General features: G+C 34.0%; 1 protein-coding gene across 8 annotated transcripts in view, besides 2 other annotated features; it reads right to left on the bottom strand.

Annotated features, from left to right (window-relative positions):
- Positions 3817-4006: a silencer, noted in NCBI's record as "silent region_10474". NCBI's record gives its function as "represses an Ori minimal core promoter by ATAC-STARR-seq in GM12878 lymphoblastoid cells {active_cell/tissue: GM12878}" and the evidence as "EXISTENCE:reporter gene assay evidence [ECO:0000049][PMID:35858748]".
- Positions 4648-21444, bottom strand: part of URI1 (URI1 prefoldin like chaperone) — a 92956-nt gene continuing 76159 nt past the window's right edge. For 5 of the 8 annotated variants that reach the window (NR_045557.1, XM_005259362.3, XM_047439595.1 and 2 more), the window contains 7 exons: positions 15808-15899; positions 15552-15609; positions 13622-13790; positions 11907-12255; positions 10024-10166; positions 8729-8975; positions 4648-6373 (listed from right to left, as the gene is read on the bottom strand). Coding sequence is in view for 7 of the 8 variants with exons in the window: in XM_005259362.3 (XP_005259419.1) it covers positions 6191-6373; positions 8729-8975; positions 10024-10166; positions 11907-12255; positions 13622-13790; positions 15552-15609; positions 15808-15899 (1241 nt within the window). In the remaining variant the exon portion in view is untranslated. The remainder of the gene's footprint in view (positions 6374-8728; positions 8976-10023; positions 10167-11906; positions 12256-13621; positions 13791-15551; positions 15610-15807; positions 15900-21444) is intronic. The other 3 variants (NM_001252641.2, XM_005259363.5, XM_047439596.1) reach the window with 1 other exon arrangement.
- Positions 16664-17553: an enhancer, noted in NCBI's record as "VISTA enhancer hs381". NCBI's record gives its function as "enhancer in: eye[5/6]" and the evidence as "EXISTENCE:transgenic organism evidence [ECO:0001131][PMID:17130149]".

Raw genomic sequence — 21444 nt, 5'->3', positions numbered from 1 at the left:
ACCCAGAAGGGGGAGGCCGGGTGTGGGGTGAGGGATAAAAAACTACATATTGGGTACAACGTACACTACTCGGGTAACAGATGCAGTAAAATCTCCAACTTCATCACTGCACAATTCATCCATGTAACCAAACATCACTAAAGGTACTGAAACAACTGTTTACGCTAATAATAGCATAATTGTATTAGGTGCATGTATGCATATAAACAAAAACAAAACAGAAAGCTGTCTCACACACAAAAGATGGAACCTGTTATATTAGGAAAATATCTAGCTCTATTACTCTCTAAAGGAAAAAACATGATTAGGGATAAAAACGGTCACTATGAGGTCACTTGATGAGGAACACACTAATTTTAAACTCACATGCACACAATGCCTAAATTCACATAAAAAAATGAGCAGCTTTTCAGAGAAATACTGTTACACTGATTACTTCTTAATTTTACTATTCTCCACCTATCATATTCCTTTTGTGTATATGGCCAAATAACATCATTGAAAAACTCCACCCTATTCCACCAAGTCAACATTAATTTTCTTATGTAGAAAGTTTAACAAACAAAACAGGCTTCAAAAATTCAGATTTTTTAAAAGGTGGCCTCATTGTAAGTAGGTGAAATTATGGAGACATCATATAGATCACATATTTCCTCACTAGCTGAGTGTCTTGTTTAGATGGCAATGTTAAAAAAAAAAAAAAGTCAAAAAAATGTGTTACGAGTGCTGGTTCTGGAGCAAAGCTGCCTGAGTGTAACCTACTTAACAGTTGTGTGGCTTAAAATGTTAGTCTCTGTCTTAGGATGAGGGTGAAGGATAAAACAATAGTGCCTACCTCACTGGGATGCTGTGAGCAATTAAATGAGATAATCCACACCAAGTGTGCTAAAAATGCATGACACATAGTAAGTGCTAAAAAAAATATTTAACTCTTTGTGACTTATTGGTTAAGGGAACTGCAAAAACATTCTTTAATCCTAAATGATATTCTTCTAAAATGAAATTTAAATTATTTTAAAATGTAAAAATTTAATACTGACCAATTAAATATATAAATCATATTTATTTTAACTGAGGAATTCACTTAATAGGCCTTTGCTTGACAGCCTACATGCCACCACCTAAAGAACAGATAGATAAAGATCAGTTTTACCCTTGAAAACCTGTTTCTTATGGAGGAGACAAATCTGTAAAATAGACACCTGCATTTCACAAATTAGGAATTATTTCAATGAATGGAAAGCTCTTAAATATGCATGACCAATTTTAAAAAAATCACATTTTAGTAAAATGAACATAATCATTATGTAACACAATGTTTTTAATGATTCTGAAACCCCTTTAAGATACCATACTGCCCCAGAATCATTCTAAAAAATCATCAATGATATGCAGACATACGTATATGTTAAAACTATGTCCTCGGGCCAGGCGTGGTGGCACACACCTGTAAACCCAGCACTTTGGGAGGCCGAGGCGGGTGGATCATGAGGTCAGGAGATCAAGACCATCCTGGCTAACACAGTGAAACCCCGTCTCTACTAAAAATACAAAAAATTAGCCGGGCGTGGTAGCAGGTGCCTATAGTGCCAGCTACTCGGGAGGCTGAGGCAGGAGAATGGCGTGAACCAGGAGGCAGAGCTTGCAGTGAGTCGAGATCGGGCCACTGCGCTCCAGCCTGGGCGACAGAGCGAGACTCCGTCTCAAACAAACAAACAAAAAAAACCACTATGTCCTCAATAAGGGAACAAAACAAATATACTTCAAAACAGATTTTACTATGTTTTAAAGAAATCAAAGTAAGTGTTCATATGGCCCAACAGTCCTACTCCTAGAAATCTACCCTGAAGATATACCTCTAATGATACAAAAATACATATATAAAGTTATTCATTGCATCATTATATGTAATTGCCAAACATCACAAACAACCTAAACGCCCATACCTAGGAAAGCGGCTGAACAAATTATGTACCATCTATACAACGGAGTACTATAGCTGTTTAAAAAAAAAAAAAAAGAAGGCAGAAAAACTGATACAGAGGGATCGCAAGGGCATAATATTAACTGAAAAAATTAAAGTGCAATGGACAATGTCTTTCTTCATGTAAGAAATAAATGCATGTAAGAAAATTGGCCGGGCACAGTGGCTCACGCCTGTAATTCCAGCACTTTGGGAGGCTGAGGGAGGTAGATCACTTGAGGTCAGGCGTTCTAGACCAACCTGACCAAGATGCAAAACCCTGTCTCTACCAAAACATACAAAAAAAAAAAAATTACCTGCGCATGGTGGCACGTACCTGTAGTCCCAGCTGCTCAGGAGGTTGAGGCATGAGAATCACCTGAACGCAGGAGGCAGAGGTTGCAGTGAGCCGAGATTGCACCACTGCACTTGAGCCTGGGCAAAAGTAACCCTGTCTCAAAAAAAAAAAGAAAAAAGAAAAGAAAAAAAGGAAAAAGAAAATATACATGTATTTGCTATGAGTATAGAATATAGAAAAGTTAAACCAGAAGCTAAAAATATTGGTTCTTTATAGTAGGTAGGTGGGGATTTGTGCAAAAGAGACATAGAAAGGCTAAACAAGAAACTAGAGCTTACTTACTATGGGCAGGTGGGAAAGTGAGAGAAAGCAGCTGGGAACGGGAATGGGGTGGTAGGAATGAGGTACGAACAACACTTCTCCATGTATATCCTTTTACAAAGCTCACACTCTGAAAACCACGTTTCACATACTGAAAAAATAAACCATTAAAATCAACCAGGCTGTGGAGAGAACGCTCAAACAGTAAAAAAAGGACCAAGAGTACAAATCAGTCCACAGATCAGAGAGGGTGGGAAAGAAAAGAACGTCAGTAACTTTGAAAAACTGTTTCTTGACTGATATATGAGGCAAAACCCAAAAAGAATTGCAGAACAGTGCAATGTAGTTAATGTGTTTCTCCTAGGGTATGAATTAGCTCTTCTGAAACTACATGTATATTACACTGACACAACAACAAAAAAACAGTAAGTAAATACACTGCAGACAAGAGGCAGGTTACCCATATTGGAAAAAATAACAAATAAGGAAAACCAGAAATTAATCCTGTGGTGTTAAATTAGAATCAGAAGTATCAGTACAAAACTCATGAGTTTTTAATAAGCAGACACATAAATGTATATTCATTAATACACATACATATATTTCCCAGCTGTATCTCCTGAAAGGCCCAAGAGGCAATGACACCCTATTGGCAATTAGTATACTTAAATGAACAAATGTTGGTTTCTAAATACCATTTTCCAATTAAAGGAACCAGGGTTCCTTGAAGTGGTTGTTTCCAGGGCTGGGAGAGGAAAAATAGATGGTCCTGTAGTATTTTGTGGTGCCAGTAAGAAAGTGTTCAAAAAAATATGGGAACTTGTTAAAGAACCTAGGAGTTAACTCAAAGGAGTTCCTAATGGGCAAATGCAGAAGAATTTGAGCAACAAAACAATGATAGTAAGTAATGAATTTTAACCCATATAATAAAATATCCAGGTGTCCACAGATATAAATAATCAAATAAACTTGGAGAGAGAGGTATGGAGGCAAAGCTTGTTATTATAAAAGAATTTCAAGAAATAAATGTGCAAAAGAGCAAAACAGAAAATCACCTTTAGGCAAACACCACAGCGGTAACTGTTACAGACAAGATCCACTAATGAATGCAAAACTTAGCATAAGTTGGAGGAGAAAAGAATTTTCATGTCTCATGTATCTCTCCCAAGATATTAACTACAAAGGGAAACAGTAATTTTGCAGTGGAGATACCTGGCAGACACCACCTTAACCAAGTGATTAAGACTGATACACCAAAATAAGGAACTTGAAATGACACACTAGAATGCACCTCTTGATATGATGCATTTTCTGTGGTATTCTCTTCAAAATTGCAAAACCTCAAGGCATCTGAGTACATCAAATAAATCCAAACTGAGGAACATCCTCAAAATATCCCACCAGTACTCTTCAAAAGTATCAGTTATGAAAGACAAACTGAGGAACTGTCTGAGATTGGAGGAAAGACTAAGGAGCAGTAAGTAACAAATAAATGCAAGATAGGGTCATAGACAAGATGTGAGGAACAGAAGAACACTAGTTCTTTTTCTAATGGAAAATTTGGTGGAAAAGTTGGTGAAATTCAAGTAAGATCTGTAATTTAGGTCTAACGCTATTGCACCAACATAAATTTCCTGATTTGGATAATTATATTACGGTTCTATATTACAATATTGAGGGAGGCTGAATGAAATGAGGGTATATGGGAACTCTTGGTACTATTTAGTGCAATTTTCTGAAAGACTAAAGTTATTATATTTCAAAATAGAAAGTTTAAAAGAGAATCTCTTGGTCTGCTGTTCTGTTTTATAATGGTTTAAAACAGAACAGGTAAGACAGCTTCATTTTGTCCCAAACTTTAATATAAAAAAGCTATAATTTTAAATTACAATTTAATACTCTGTTATAAGACTGAAGCTATGAAATGGGGCAACACTATTTCATGGTCTCCAGAGCAGAACACGCAAAAATGTGTTATCAAACACTTTATCTGCTTCTACTACCATCTTGTTCTATGAGGGAAAACCTATCTGAAAGATGTAACATAGACAGGCTCAAAATCAAGTCTGTGAACATGAAAAATTATTTAATGACACGCATCTTGAAATTACAAATCTGTTAAGAACACCACAATAGTCCTACAGTAAAGTTTGTTTCTGAGAAAAAAATCTAGCACAGAAAGCCTCATGTGAATAGCAATTCCTAACGGGAGCATCTTTGTGTGTGTAATTTCTGCTTTGGTTTTGGTGAGGGTTGGGGCATGGACTGAAAGATTTACCTACAAAATATATGCATAGTTGATCTAAATTTACTAAAGAACAAATCTACATTTTTAGGTGATCTTTCAAAATCAGTCCTCGGTTTGAATTATCCATTAACTAGTGGGGATGCAAGCTCGCCCCCTTGTCATTAAAATACATATTCATAAAACTTTAAAGTTGCACTGCTCTAGTTACGAATAGCTTCTACTTTTCTAGGACATAATTTCACTTTGTTTAAGAAGAATTCATTAAAGAAGCTATAAATAACCTTTAAATATTTAGCCATGAATAGAGAGGGTGGACTGGCATTGATGGCTTATTTTAGTACTAATGCAGAATGCTTTTTAAAAGCTACATTTTAGCATGCATCAAGCTAATGATTAACTTGTAATGTTATTTTCAATGTTAGAATAAATTTATTTTGAGGAATTGTGGTAAAAGTAAATGTGTTATTTCAGTTAGTAGGAAAGTAGCCTTAAAGAATGAAAATGTTGGGAAGATGAAACTGTAAGGAATTTTTATTTAAAATGTTTAAGCATCTAGACCTTTCCTTGTTTCCCAAAACATAATCCCAGTGAAACTGCAAAAACTAAGGGAGAAGTATCTGAGGAACTGAAAGAATTCCAGATCTGTTGTGTGATACATGTAGCATACATATGAATCAAGGACATATCTGTACTCAATTTTGAATCATAAAGTTCACAACATTTTTGAGACCAAGTTTCATAAAGTTTTTACTTGGAAAAAAAAGTTTTACAAAATATCTTTCCAAAGAAATTTTCCCATAGAGTACAATTAATTCATGTAGCTTTCTTCCTTAAAGATTACAGTATGACATTCAGAGGGGCGAGGTTTCTTGAATAGCCAACTAGCCGCAAAACCTACAAGAGAAGTAGATTTTTTTAAAGTGCCTTTAAAATGTGAAAGCAAGTAATGTAATTGTTGAATCTATTTGAAATTTTAAAATTTTCTTTAAAATGGTCCATATGGTATGCACAATATCACAGCTGGCACAAAACTGCCTGTATTTAGTTTGAAACACAAAAACAATGCATATGAACAGTATTCTTTGAAAAGTAATTCAAAATGCTGCCACTGCATCATAAAGGCAAACTTAGATAAGAGTGTTGACAGTATTCAGAGAATTCACAAAACAAGCTGATATTAAAGTATTCAGACAGTTACCTTGATTTTTTTCAAATACCACGGGTAAGGGTAAAAGAACTTGTTGCCAAAGTAACTCAGGATACCTTATTTCAAACTACATGTAACCTATTTTGCTATAGATACTCTAAACAAATGAACAACTAGGTTTTAGGATGTAAATTCCCATTTCCTAGACAGGGCCTAGTCTTTCTGTTGCAATCTGGCAGCTTTAAACTTTGAAACCCTCTTTCCAGTTTCTTCAGATGCTTCCAACAGAACTTCCTTTCGTTCTGGAATAGTGGGTAGTGCGGGATGAGCAATGGCTGGGGGTGGTGTTAAGGAAGGTGATACAAATTCTTTTTCTATAACAGTTCCAGAAAAAGCCTAGAAAACAAAAGTCAGGTTATGGTAATAAAATGCAAATAAGACACCCACAAAATCTTCCCATTCACTCATTTGGCAATTCTTTTCATTAAAAGTAAATTCACGAGATTTTTGGCTAGACAACACTACTACACCAAAATACTAATTGTTCAGAGAAACCAACACCATTAAGTTTTAATTTCACCACCAAACAGAAGTAATTTTTACAGTATACATGCAAGAAAACAAAATGTAAAATGTAAATTTTATCTGGGAAAAAAAAGAAATGGATAAATAAAAGGTCTTCAAACTTTCATACATTCCATTCATGTCCAGCCCATGCTGTGAAAAATAATGTATTAAAATAAAAATGCTATTAGGGTGTCAAACTCTGACTTTTGTACATCAGTTGATGAATGAGCTATCCTATGATGGCCTTGCTGCCTGCTAGCCAATAGCTTAGTTTCACCAGTACTGACATTTCTAACTGATATCTCTTTGGTGGTGTTTATGCAATTATTTAAATATTTTACTGCATATTGCCTCAATTTTAAAAGATCAGTGGAAGTTGAAAAATAAAAGTGCTGATACTAGTAGGAATAAGTACAGGTTTCAAAATTTTAATATAATTAACTCAATGACAGAAATCAGAAGTTCCACAAAAAAAGAAATGACTCAATTTCACCTGGATGTTTGCTGCATTTAATCTGGTCAACTATATGTTCAACTGGAACAGAATTAAAGAATGTGCATAAATTGCTGGAAATATCTGTACATGTCGTTTTATACAAAAATAGGTAAGACACAAGGAGTTAATTTTTTTTTTTTTTTTAAGATTGCTGGTATTTAGAACCTCCATCCTTCCCTCTACAAATGAAAATTTGACAGGTGAACTTTAATGTACATTTTGTTCTCCTCTGTCTACCAAGTGCTCAAAATTAGTTAAAACAACGTAACACCTAAATAATTTAAAAAGCCACCTTCTTCTACCTTGCCCCACCACTGAAACAAAAACAAAGAAAGCCATCTCTCTCCTACATTATTTTTGGAGTTCAACTGGTAAAAGCAGCTTAAAGCTTACTTTCCTAAAAACTCCACTTTATCACGATGAGCATAGAGCCTTCTTCTCCTTCTTCTATTTAAAATGCCTTTGAAAAAGAGGTATTTTAGCATTTAAAAAGATACTGAAAAGGATATCTTCCAAAGTACTTACCATAATCATGAACTATTTCTTTGATGTTAAAAAATGTATAGCAACTACTATTAAACATTTCCATACAAAATGCAAAGCTACTAAGGGTGAAATAAAAAATAGGTTCCACACTCTAGCTGTACCATGATACACTAAGTCCTTACAAAAAACTAATTTTCAAACATTTATCAGCAATTACCTGATAACATCCATTACCTGTTTTCTAACAGTATGGAAGACTATCAAATAAGGTAAGATACTTTCCAGGTCACCTAAGATCATTATACTAAGAAGAGGGGAAGAAAACATTCTAGTCATATGTACTGTCCCTAAATGCTACCAATCTCCATCCCCAATTACCATTTAATACACTGAGTATAATACCATTTAGTAAAAGCAATGGAATTTTTAGATAAGGTTATATATATGCATGTATCTTATTGTATATACAAATGTGTACACTGGTTTGATCCAGGCATGGGTTCCCCAATCTTCCTAAATACTTTTTAAATTGAAAACTTCAAATACGCACCAAAACACAAGAATGAAGAAATCAATAGCCTTATATTTCACAGACATCCTTATTTGGGGATTTCCTAACCTCCCCTGCACCACCACCAAAAACTGTAAGAAGTGTGGTGGGTGAAAGTGTATTGAGTGTGCACTATTTTTTCTATGGACAGGGTCTACAGCTTTCATCAGATTATAAAACAATTCCATAATCCCCCAAGAGTTAAGTTTCACTGGTACAAGGTAAAATATTAGACTTTAGGTAATTATCTGCTATGCATGCATTATTTTTCTTTAACTTAGCCAAGGTATTTAAAAGAGAATAATGTAATCTGCTCCTTACACTATCAGAAAATGACCTACTGGTAATTTATTTAAAATAAACTGCGAAATAATTTCCTAGCTACAAATGTAATACATAATGCCAAGTAAGACATTTTAAATTTCCCATTTTGCTGAAATAGAACGTTAAGACAAGTAATGTGTTTATCAAAAAATAAACTATTTGATTATCACAATATTTGTACTGTTTGTGACTATTAATTTTTTATTAATTAGTACCAAGAAAGTATAAAACCTAGAATTAATTTAATCTTATGACTTTTCAGATTAAATAGCTAAAACTGGTCAAAGATACTATATGAAATAAAGAATTAAAAGATACACACACACACCTCAGGTGTTACTGATAAGGGCAAAAGTTTCTTTTGATTTTCTTGTGGTTCCTCTTCCAAAATGCTCTCACTGGTGTCACTGCAAGTGGCTTCTTCGCAGCTGATACTCCTCAAAACTCCCCGCCTATCATCAAATTCAGCAGCACTGCTTTCACTAGTGTCGCTACACACACTATTCTCTCTACTTCGAGACTTCAGGATGGATTTGCGAGGGACATATTCTCCATTCACAACATCAACAAAGGCTCTGTGATATTCAAAACACATATGCATTCACTATACGTAACTCATAAAACTGAGAACAACTTTTTGAAAATTTCCTTGAATCTATTCTAGAAATTAATCTGAAAATTTTTATTACAATCTTATATCTAAAATAGTCACAATCACAATAATTTTATAGCCTCAAATGGTATCTTCATACTATTTTGAAAGCTATTTCTCTGGCCTAATAATAAAACACAGCATGTTATTTATTTATTTTATTATACTTTAAGTTCTAGGGTACATGTGCACAACGTGCAGGTTTGTTACATATGTATACATGTGCCATGTTGGTGTGCTGCACCCATTAACTCATCATTTACATTAGGTGTATCTCCTAATGCTATCCTTCCCCCCTCCCCCCACCCCATGACAGACCCCGGTGTGTGGTGTTCCCCACCCTGTGTCCAAGTGTTCTCATTGTTCAATTCCCACCTATGAGTGAGAACAAAAACACAGCATGTTATTTTTAAGCATGTCCTAGGTGGCAATAGCATGGTTTGCCAAAATTCTACATAAAGTTTTAGACCCACGTATACATTTAGCAATTTTCACTGATTTATAAATAAGGGTCATAAAAACAGTAGGTATTTTCAAGTGATAGTTTTCTCAACAAACAATTCCAAAAAAAAGGAAAAAAAAAAAAAACCTGCAACAGTATAATTTCTACTCTGAAAAGGTAAACTGCATGCCAAGCATGTTACGGCTGTGGTAGAAACGTAGGGACCTAGCCCACTGGAAACAAAAATGCTTTCTGAAGATACAAGATTTTCTGACTAGACCATTTGGAAATGTTTCAAAAGCACTGGTGAAGAGGAGAAAGTGAAAAAAAAAAAAAATCCTCCATTCCCACTGCTCTGGACTGGGAAGCTACAGCCGGTCAGCCTATCAGATCCTAAGTTAACTCCTCAGAACACTTCACTTTTCAGTGAGGGTCTTCTGTGTTACAGTCAACTTTCTCCAGTAAAGGTTCAGTGGCAGAAAGAGAGGCAAGCCCAGCAGACTGCCCTGCAGCTGTGAGCGCCTCCCACCTGTAAATGTCTGCAGGCGTCCTGATGGTCGGCAGCTCCTGGGCAGAGTGGCCACTGCCAGTGCTGTTCTTTCGTTTACGTTTGGCTTCTTCTTTCTTTTCACTGAATTTTAAAGTGGTATTCTTTCCAGTATTTATTCGGACCTAAAATTTCAGAGCAAGAAATTAAGAATCTTTTGACAAATTAAATCAAAGTGAAACCAAAACAAATAAACTCTATAACTAAAAAAATAATAGTAAGAGAGGCAGCTGAAATTTTCTGATGCTGAAATGATGTGCATTATCAGATGGAATTTTTTAAAAAGTCCTTATCTCATAGATCTATGACATCTAAAGAAAATCTTCTTTATTAACAAATCCTAGTCTTCAGTGTCTTTATTATTGTAGAGAAAGCAAAATACATTTGAACTAAATGCTAGATTTCTTATAAACTTCCCATCACCCCATTCCTTTGATATAAGTGTTTGGCTTGAATTATGTATTTCAAAAGAAAGAGTATAAACAAAAATTCAGTAAGAATACAACCTTTAAGTCATAAAAGTACTATTAAATAATGCCTATTTAGAATTTTTAAAACATCTCTAATTTTTAGAAATTGAAGGAGTAAAAAAATAAAAACCAAGCCTGTTCAGGGTTCACATGGGGTTAACATGTTATTTTTCTATCCCTAGTCAGCACTTAGAGCATACTTTCCACAATAATGACCACTATTACCTGTAACGTTCCTGCAAATAATATTTGTTCTTTCTGTTTTATCTAAATGAAAACAGGAAAAAAGTAAAAGCCTGGCAAAAGATTAAAAAGCGACCTTTTTTTCTGGCTAATCATCTCAGTCAACTTTTCCCGAAGAATCAGGGGAAGACCCCTTCAGTCTGACATATTAGAATATAAAAACACAAACAATTATTTCACTTCATATAGGAGCAGGAATAACTTTAGGAAGCTAAGAAATATCAAATATGTTTTAAACATATTTCACTAAATAATAATCACACACACTTAAGAATGATACCACAGACCCTTAACTGATACAGGCAATCGGGATATTGTGTAGAAAGGGCACTCAGAGGCGAAAGAGTTCCTGTTTTGTTACCAACCAGATCTATGTCTTCTAGGCCTTAAATTTCCCTGAGAAAGACGAATTAGACGAATTCCCAGTGTCCCCTTAGAGCAGTACATGGAGCAGAGAGAGGGCAAAGATGGACTTAAGGCAGCCTATCCTTCCTTCAATCAGAGCCAAGCTGCTTTGATCTATTTTAAATACTGGGATTCTACAGTAAGTATGGAGGGAACAAAAGGCTTTTCATACTAGAGAAAAGCTTTAAAACTCTGTATTAGAAAATCTCCAGTCACCCCCAGCTCTAAAATGCCAAAATTCTAAGTCATGATTATCCACAGATGTTTATATTTACTTTGTCAGAAAAGAAACTAATTTTTACTTCCTCCTACATTTTCCCTTTGTGCCTATGAAGTATTCATTTTATGTCCATAGAAAACAACCTGGCATAATTAAAAATTTAACTAATGCAGTCACTTTCAACATCCTAAGCACACCAAAATGTCCACAATATAATTAACTCCAGGATTCTTAAGAAAACTCTCTGAATGAAGGACAGGTGAAGTTACAGTAGTTGCCACTCAAATCTGATCCCCTTCCAGACCCCAAACAATGCATTGTTTCAGAGAACAATGGACCAATACCAGCTAACTAAATTTTTTTTCCCTTTTTCTTCTTAAATTGGTCAGAACAAGAGGCAAAAGATGATTTTCCTGTCTGGCACTATCCACAATGATAATGATTGTTAATATTGCTCTTCTAAAAAATATCATAATGCTTAATGTTCAAATTATATGCAAAATTAGTAAAGTTAAAAGTATACAAACCCTCTTAGGCTCAACAGTATGTGAAAAATATATTGTTGGTATAGAATTATCTCCAACCCCTAAAGCCTCATGGTCGTTATCACCATCATCGTCGTCAATGTTGTCGTCGTCGTCGTCATCATCATCATCATCATCATCATCACTGTGGTAAGAACTGGAACCATTCACTGAACAGTTCAACTGACTATTCACTTGACCACTGAATGGTTCTGAACTTGCAACATCCTTATGACAAGGAGTATGAGAGTCTGTTACTTGATGCATCGCATTCACATTTGTGTTACGATCTTCCTTTTCCTCTTCAGAAGATGTCGTATCTTCTCCATTTGCAATCACAGTATCAGGCTTACTAGCAAGGAAGAAAATTAACAAGATCAAACAAACATACTAGAATTTTACATTATTTAAATTTCCAGTTAGTTTCCATGGGTAAATACTAAGATCTTGAATAAAGTATTTTTAAAACTAGAATTCTAAGTTCAAAAACAAAAAAATGTTTTGAAATAAATTAACAAAAAACAGTTCCTATGCTGCTTCTATATATTGAGGTTATTCAGACATAAGTAGAATATAGAAGATAATTTTTTTATCTTTGCAAGAAAGATATTGGCCATATGCAATATAAATATAGTATCAATAATAATAAAGTTGTAAGAAATTCAGAGAACATTTATCTCTAAAGACCAGAAATTGAAACCACATAATACACACTTATTTTCTACTCCTATACTCAGAATATTTTACAATGAGCATGTATTATTGTAATTTTTAAAAATAAAGGATTTATACATATGCACACGAATATATCTATATGCATGAGTGAACATTTATCATACTTGATTCTATAAAAGATGTGAGGACCTTACAAAAATAACAAAATTGAAAATGCAACAGAACTGAAATAACATCATACAAAAAATAGAAAGAGAATCATGACCAAGAAAAATCACAAGATCCAAAACTGGTTTTAAAAAATGAATAGTATTAGTTAATCAAAAAGACCTAAGAATTTATAGGTGAAACACTAGGAAAAAGAAACTTTTATGCTTCCTGCCCTATTTTTCACAGAAACTAATTATTGCATATGGTACATCATTTAAGCAAAATAATATAGAACTTCTCGAGTAGCAGATTTCATTTAGCATTTTAACAATTCTAAGTGTGTGCTAATGTGTATTTCAAACAGCAATTTCGTAAAGTTTCTCATACATATAGCTATCTGACCAGATTACAAATTACCTGCTCCAAAGTTTATAAAAGGAAAGCAAGAATAAACATTTTACTGTATCAAATTTAAATTCAAAGTGTATTTTTGTTTTTCACAACACATTCAAAGATAGAGCACTATCCTGGGTGTGGCATAAAAATACTTCATTTAAAATTTAACATTATATATATTAAATCCATGATTATTAAAAGTCAACTATCTGGTATAATTAATTATATAAAATAGGCCATAATAAAAAATGAAGATGTTGATCTTAAGTATTTAAGTACATGTACATGCATGGGAATATGCACAAACACACAATCCTATAAGAAAATATTCCAGAGAATTAATGTTCATCTTGAGGTGAAAGGATTATTGATAATATATTATGCTTCCCTGCATTTTCTTCAATGAACACATATTATTTTATTAATGAAGAAAAAGATTAATGAGGAAATGTGTATAGAAACAAATTATCTTGGAAAGATAATTTGTCATCAAGTACCTATCAAGTTCACCCAGCAATTCTTCCTGTCTCTCTAGTTCTTCAAGTCGAGCCCACAGTTCTTTATCAGCTAGCAAATCCTTGGATTTCACATCATTTGCAATATCTGCTTCAAAAATATCTGAAGTTTTTGGTTTGGAATGCGGTTTATGAGCAATTCGGTGTTTTGCTATTTAGAAAAAGGAAAAGACGTGGCTGTTAATAGCCAACATAAAAAAGGCACAAACCCAGACTTAATGAGACTTTCTTTTGGGGCAAGGGAAATATTGAAACAGAGGGGTCACAATTTTTAAGCCAAACAGAACTCCAAGGATGAATGTCTCTTACAGCCTTGCTACTCAAAGTGTGGTCCATGGATCAACAGCACTGGCGTCCTTGGGGAACACTTCAGAAGTGTAAGCTCTAAGGACACCCTAGACCCACTGAATCAGAATCTGTATTTCAACAAGAGCCCCAGAGAACCTGCATACACATTCAAGGTTGTGAGAAGAGCTTCAAAAATGCATAAGAAATGGCCACAATGCACCCTGGTTATAAGGCGAAATGCAACACATAAATGATAAATTTCCATTTACCATCCTTACTCAAGGAAATCTAGTTACTACAGTAACGTGCAAAAGCCTTGTGACAGGATACTTTAAACTCCAGGGCACTGCCAAGGAATGAGTACCCTACAAGGAAACAACGGCGGCTCATCTCTGTAAAGTTCTATTATCATTTTACATATGAACATCTCTACTTTTTAAACTGCTTCATTTGTAATCTTCATGTGAGGAAAAAAGATGGGTCAAATCTGAACTCAGAGGTATCTGCTTTTCATTTTAAAAAATAGATTATTTTTTAATAAAGCAAATTAAGGCTTTATTTGCTTTATTAAAGCAAAGTAATGGGAAAGTAATGGGAAGAAGTCTAAGATGCGTCCTGTTATGAGATATGGCACTACCAGATGACCTCGAGTCCATCATATATTCAAATTTGCTGCATTGTTGCATACATCTGAAAATATCAAATTATGTTTCACAGCCTTATTCTCTGTAACTATTATTGATAAGACAGTAGTTAACAATTTTTATTTCAGACCTGTAGCGCTCATAATTTGTCACTGGTCACCACAAACAAAAATCTTGTCTTTCTGTTCAACTTTAATATACATATCCTTTATTTCACCTTCTAAAGCCACTTCCTGTTACTTGTGATGTGGCTTCTTTCAACCAGTAAGTTATCTTAAGAGTTCATCACCAAAATATGAGTGCTGAAAGTCAAAACGAATGCTCAGTACATTTGTTTAAGACACTGTACAGTCTTCTACAGTAGCAAATAATAAGCCATCTGTAATACTTTTTACAATTTCACTACCGTTAACACTTTACAACTGACGAAGGAACCATTGGCTTTACAGAAGTAAACCCAAACACATAAGCCAGCCTTGGCAAAAGAAATCTACTGGGTGGAGATGGGAACAACCTGCGCAGGGAAAGCCACTGCAGGCACCATAAGAGGAATGGCTGAAATACACCCACATTCATTCATTCTTCCAAAAACAGCTTACAAAGCTGCAGTTTTAAAAGAAGAAAAACTAGCAAAAGATATCTTAGGACTTCACCATGGTCAGAGAACAAATTAGGAGCAGATCCATGTCTAGAATATACATCTTCTGAGTTTTAGAGGTTTGGAGCACTGGAGAACTTTGGGAGAAAAAAGCCATGTAATCCCACCACTAAAACAGACCAGTCAGGAATCACATTTTTAACCAAAAGTTATTTATCCATTAATGTTTCACATAAAAAAAAATCAATGAGTAGAAAAATGTTGGCATCCTATGAATTTAAAAGTGTATTCTAAATCCCAAATATCTCACAGAAAGCCCACTGAAAATCAACAAAAATCAAAATATCTAAACAGCTACACATAAAACAATCTTACTGCTTACCTTTAAATTCGAAGTCACATTTAATTTCTTCTCGTATGTCAACAATATCACCTGCAGCCTGGTTTTTAAACAAAAAAAAAGCGTATTAACAACACAAATCTCCAGCATACTAAAATTATCCAAAGAGCAACTATTCAACCTAAGATGTCTGAAAGCATTTTAAACTTCAATTAATTTGTTCCTTGGCTGTAAGATAGCTTCATATTTCTTTGAAAATATTTTCTAAAAATATAGAAGACTAAAAACAAATACTCACATCGCTCATTTTCTGCAAATCTTCTGTGAATTCAACTCTGGATTCAAAATTTTTCATCACTTTTTTTAAGTCATCTATTGTTTTTCTTACATCTGAAACAATGAACACAACCATTATGTAAAGCATGGCATATATACGACCTGTAGGAATATTTTAACTGTAGTCCTATCACACTACAAGTATGATTTAACAGTAATGCTTTTCAAAAATCTTACACTATTTTCCTTTTAAATGGACTTTTAATAAGTTATACTGTGTATTTTTGTGCTATATATATAGCACATTACTTTGTTCGTAATAAAATGTCTAACATATTTTCTCTCTATTACAGAGTACAGAACTAGATTGTAGATGCTGCCTGGTGCTACCAGGTTTCTATAGGATAAATATCTAGTTGGATCATCACATAAAATGCAGTATTTCATAACAGTTTTGTTGCACAGGTAATTTTTGTCCAGCTGGATAATGCATAGATAACATAGATTAAGACAAGTTATTCTGTTCCTGAACAGAAAATATTCCTAAATTAGATGACTGAAAATACAACACATTTTTTACGGTATATAATCAACCATTTCCAAGTTAAACTGCATAACAACACAACACACAGCCTTTCAACATCTCCTAAATACCACCCTCTATTAACCTATTTGAGGAAAAATTTTAATTTGAGAATAGACACAAACATTTCTCTACCCAATACTGGACAAATGCAACAAGTAATTCATGTTTCTGTAATCAGAGTAGAAATCTCTGCTAAGCAGTAAATGGCACCATCTAAAAAATACATGGGGTTTCTAACTATAATTATATGCTGAACAATATCCTACTTTTCTCCAAATACAGAATTTTTATGGCCAAGCGCTGATAAAGAATAATAGACAGTGATATGATACCTCCTCCCCCAGATGCTCTGTGATTTCCTACTGTTTTACAACAGGCACTCAATCAGTAAGCAGATCAGAAGAGGATGGAGGAGAAAAGTACATAGTTCTTTCTCTACCAATGATGAATGCAGGTCTGGCAAAGGTCTAAGCAGTTAAAATATCTTTTAAAAGAATGAAAATAAGGAAGGGAGTTAAAAGTGAAATATCACCACATATGAAGGGCTTCTCGAGAGTGGCACATGTTCTCCGATACGGCTCTCATGCTATGCAATGCTATTTTAAATAAAACACAATCACTTATGCTCTAGCCATGAATGGGTTACAAAAAAAAGACTGCATTAACAAAATGAAAATTACGGTGTAAACAGTTCATAAAATCTCACAGCCCTGATGTCGCTCTAGATCATTAAATTTCTGCAACAATTAGACCTTTTCTCACGGCAGCAAATTGGACCGGTTGCCATGGCAAATCTGAGCCCTTAAGTCATATATCTTTGATTGCAGAAAGGTCAGACTCAGACAGCCTAATAACTCAAGGAGCTGTTTGACAGATTTCATCCGAGCATGGTCACATAACAGCATAAAACTATGTCGGCAGTTGTTAAAAGCAGGGGGTCAGGGAAAAGGTTAAGGTTATGGAATGTTTTTGCTTCAGTAAACTCAGTCAGATAATGTGTCTAACCAGCTTTAGATCTAAAGAACATTATTTTAGGTAGGAGGTCAAATCAATAACTTTTTTCAAGAAGACTGGAAAATATTAAAAATGGCAGGTAGGTAAGCTAAGTACATTTTTAAAAGTCTATCCACATATAAATACTGTGCAACTAAGCTAAAGGTATCAGTGAAAGCCTTGGGTTGTCAATGTGTAAAGAATTGATTGTTCACTGATGTTATAGGAGTTACTTTCAATCAACTATTGTTGACTTTAAAAAAAATTCATCATAACTCACGCATGTAAGAAAAAGTTGTGTGAATATTCCATTTAAGAAACAAAGTGTTTTGGAAATAGGGTAATTATGAAAAACTGAAATACGATTGCACAGTTCCATTTTTAAATTCAAGAAAGCTTTCTGAATCATACATTAATATAAACCACTATCACAAGGTTAAGAAATCAGATCTCAAAAGCATATACTTTATATCAGAATCTCAGAAATACCACAAACTGATAAGCACCAACACCGTCACATACACATTATATATGCAGATATATATCTCTATTAAATTATCATAAGTCCTATGTCCTAGAGCAACAAAAAATTAGATAGCTATACAGAAAATTTAAGACAAGACAAAAGAAAGCTGGGCAACCGCAAGGCAAACGAACCTGGTGCTCACAATAACATAAAATACAGCAGAATGGTAAGCACCTATTTCGATTTTGTACAAAGTAAATAACAAGTCTAAATTCGTATCTACAGGTTGTTTCAAAAGAACAACAGTTAAAAAAGCAGAATGAGAATTTAATTCCATTTCTTTCTATAACTCTGAGATTTAACATTAGAAACCATGCTATTACATTTTTCACTAAAGCTTTTGTACTCTATTCTCCAAAAATTTATTTTAAGAGGTGAAATATACATGTCACTAAAAATGGATCATTTAAACAGACTCAATCAATTTTAACGCTCCAAACATGGCTAAGTTGAAATCTAATTAAGCAAAATTTCAAACCACACTGAAATTATAGCAAATAACACTACTGAGAGAAAAAGAAATATACTTTGTGATATAGACAATATCTGTATTCATTTTAATCTCAAACATTTTAGTTACCAATTATTATAGAAAAAAGAAAACAAATTCAATGGGATCAAAGAAATAGCTGTGAAAATGTACAAAAGACAGTTCTCCACAGATACTTCCCCCCACCCCAAAAAATAAAAACTAAAATTGAAGAAAAAAATTAGTAATTTGAAGGACAGAAGATTGTTTTCAAACACAGGTTATTTTAACTAAAAATCAGAAGTTAAATTTTCTAGGATTTCAGAAGTATAGAATGAGGTATAGTTTTTATTTATTTAGCTGACAAAACCAGGCTGCAGGTTAAATGTGCAGCAAGCATAAGCTAATATTTTAAAGTCTTCACTAATTCAGAATCTTTGTCCAGAACTGGCTGAAATCCTTTGAGTTAGCTATGAAAAAGGAGACTTAAAGCAAATTAACAGTGCAAATTCCAAAGACATGTTTAAACCAAAAAAGAAAATTTAAAACCTCATAAGAACTTAAGCAGTCATTTTCACCTAAAGATAAACGATATGCCTACTCACTAAGTAAGACCAAATATTTAGAAACATTTAGTTAACAGTTTGTAGAATTGTATATATTTGAAAGGAACAGAAATGCAGATGTAATAAAAATTATTTGCAAAACACTAATAAAAGTTATGAACATCATTCGTGAAAGGAGTCTTTTTTACTTAGCCATATATTCATATGTACTGAATAGTATGAAGCCTGTAAATATGCAATTCTCTACTGAATCCTTTGTGACCACTCTATTCTCAACCTCGTTTCTTTTGTGTGCTGGAATTTTTAAATATTCTTTCGACAGCTTCAACAGGACGTGCCCCCTGGTGGAAATACTCACAAACCTCTGGACAGGATGTACTCCTTCTTAAACCAGTACAAAGGTTTGGACTTCTGCTTTAAAATAGCACATTGAATACATGTACTTAGTATTTGCCTTTCCCCTATACCTTAGGTAAAGTAACAACTAAGAAATTTTTAAAGGCATAAACCCATAAAGACAAATACATTTGAAGAGAAAATAGACAAGAAATGTCAACCAAATTTTGGAAACTGCACAACTGATAATGGACTTTGCACAACAGAAAAAAATGGAACCTAACTGTGGCTGGGAAAAGCTACTACAAGTCGATCTGGGATATCGGACCTGGAAAAGGCAATTCACTTGAGAGTATTTCCAAAAGAAGAGTGAACTTTAACCAAAGATCTAGATAAAAGTTTGAAAAGAACAGGTCCCCAAACCCTAATCTCACAAGAAAGGTTTCTCCTTTCTTGCTTAAACAAAAGATTCACAGCTTAGAGTGGTTTGTAGAGATGGTAGGGAATAGGGAAGTGGAAAGAGAATAGAAAATGTCTTAGTGAAACCAGGAGGATTAATTCCAAGTGAACATACTGAACCTTGAAACGCCCAGCCTGGTTCTCAGAACACTAGATGAAGAAGATCAGAAGACTCTTTTGTAGAATCTGCTGATACTTAAAGATTGCTCAATTTAAAAAAAATAAATAAATCAGCTTGCTACCTTAAATCCCTACAAAAAATACCTATCAGTCAACAAACCTTGCCTATGCACACAGAGCTTCCTGACAGTACTCAACGCAAGTATAAATGGTTAGCCAAGGATCACCAGACATTTGAAGAAATTCTTGAACATTAATGCTAGAGACCAAAAAAAGAGAGCAAGAGAGAAAAGAGGGAGAAGAAAAAAGAAACATGGAGGAAATGTTTAAAGATGAAAACTTTAAAAGAAAAAACAAATACTCCTTAAAAAAAGACCCTCCATCCATGAAACAAGAACAGGATGCTGTAACAAAGAAACAGCCAAAGAACAAAAAAAAAGTGCTTCCAGAAATGAAACTATGTACAGGAAAATTTTAAAGTCAATACATGATTTAAAAGAGTATGCAGAAGAAATCACTTCAAAAATTACAACAAGGACAAACAAATAGGCAACAAGAAAAGGAAATTTTCAAATTACTAATATAAATTTCCCACGGCTGGAGGACTTAAGCCTCCACTCAAAAAAGGCCTACTAAGCACTAGCAAACAAATTTTAAAGGATCCATAGCACGGCTTCAAGGTGTACCACTGTTGTATTCCAGATCATGGGGAATAAGGACCAAAAAGGAATCTCAAAGCTTTAAAAACAAAAAAACAAGTTATATACAAAGAAAACGAAAATAGCATCAAGATTTTCAATAGCAACACTTAAAGACAGGAGGTAACAGAATAATGTATCCAAAATTCTGAGGGCAACAGTTACTTAAGACCTAGAATTCTAAACAGTCTACTTAACAATAAGAAGCAGGAGTATAAGGAATATAAGAGTTATTCAGATACATAAAAATTCAAAGAAGTACCTCCGAGCAGGTTCCCAAAAGTTACTTAAAGCAATATTCCAACAAACTAAATAGAACCTGAAAAAAGGGTGCTTTGGGAAACAGAAAACAGGAAATAAATAAAAGGCAAAAACAGGGTAAGAAGACACCAGGAAGACGGCTCTCCTTTGATCAGGAGAGAAGCCAGTCCAAATTGAAGCAAGACAATGAAAGACTCCAGCAGTAAAATTTTTAACAACAAAAAAAGTATCTGACTGAATTAATGACAGACACATAGAAAACTATGCAACAAAAAAAGCAGTTAAATTCAACTAAAAGCCTGTACAAGAACAAAATGGAATTACATAATATCTAAGCATGAATACTGATTCAACAAAAATTGTGATACAACAATAGCAAAAAGATTAGAGAAGCAGAGACAGGGAGGACATGTAAAAATGCTACATGGTCCTCTTAAATTATAGACAGGTAGTTAATAATACATAAAATTAAAAAAAAAAGAAGTAAACAAAAACAGGATATGCCAACCACTGGAAAATATGAATAAAAAGAGCAGAGTAAAAATAGCCAAAAACAGAAAGTAATTACATCTGAGGAATGGGAACTGTGAGCCAAAAGGGATAAGTGAATGCTGCTCTTTTTTTTAAATAACGTCTTAAGATGGT

The sequence above is a fragment of the Homo sapiens genome, chromosome 19 (genome assembly GCF_000001405.40).
Source record: "Homo sapiens chromosome 19, GRCh38.p14 Primary Assembly".
Lineage (NCBI taxonomy): Eukaryota > Metazoa > Chordata > Mammalia > Primates > Hominidae > Homo > Homo sapiens.
The sequence above is the reverse complement of the archived record's forward strand: the minus strand, read 5'-3'. Positions and strand labels throughout refer to the sequence as shown.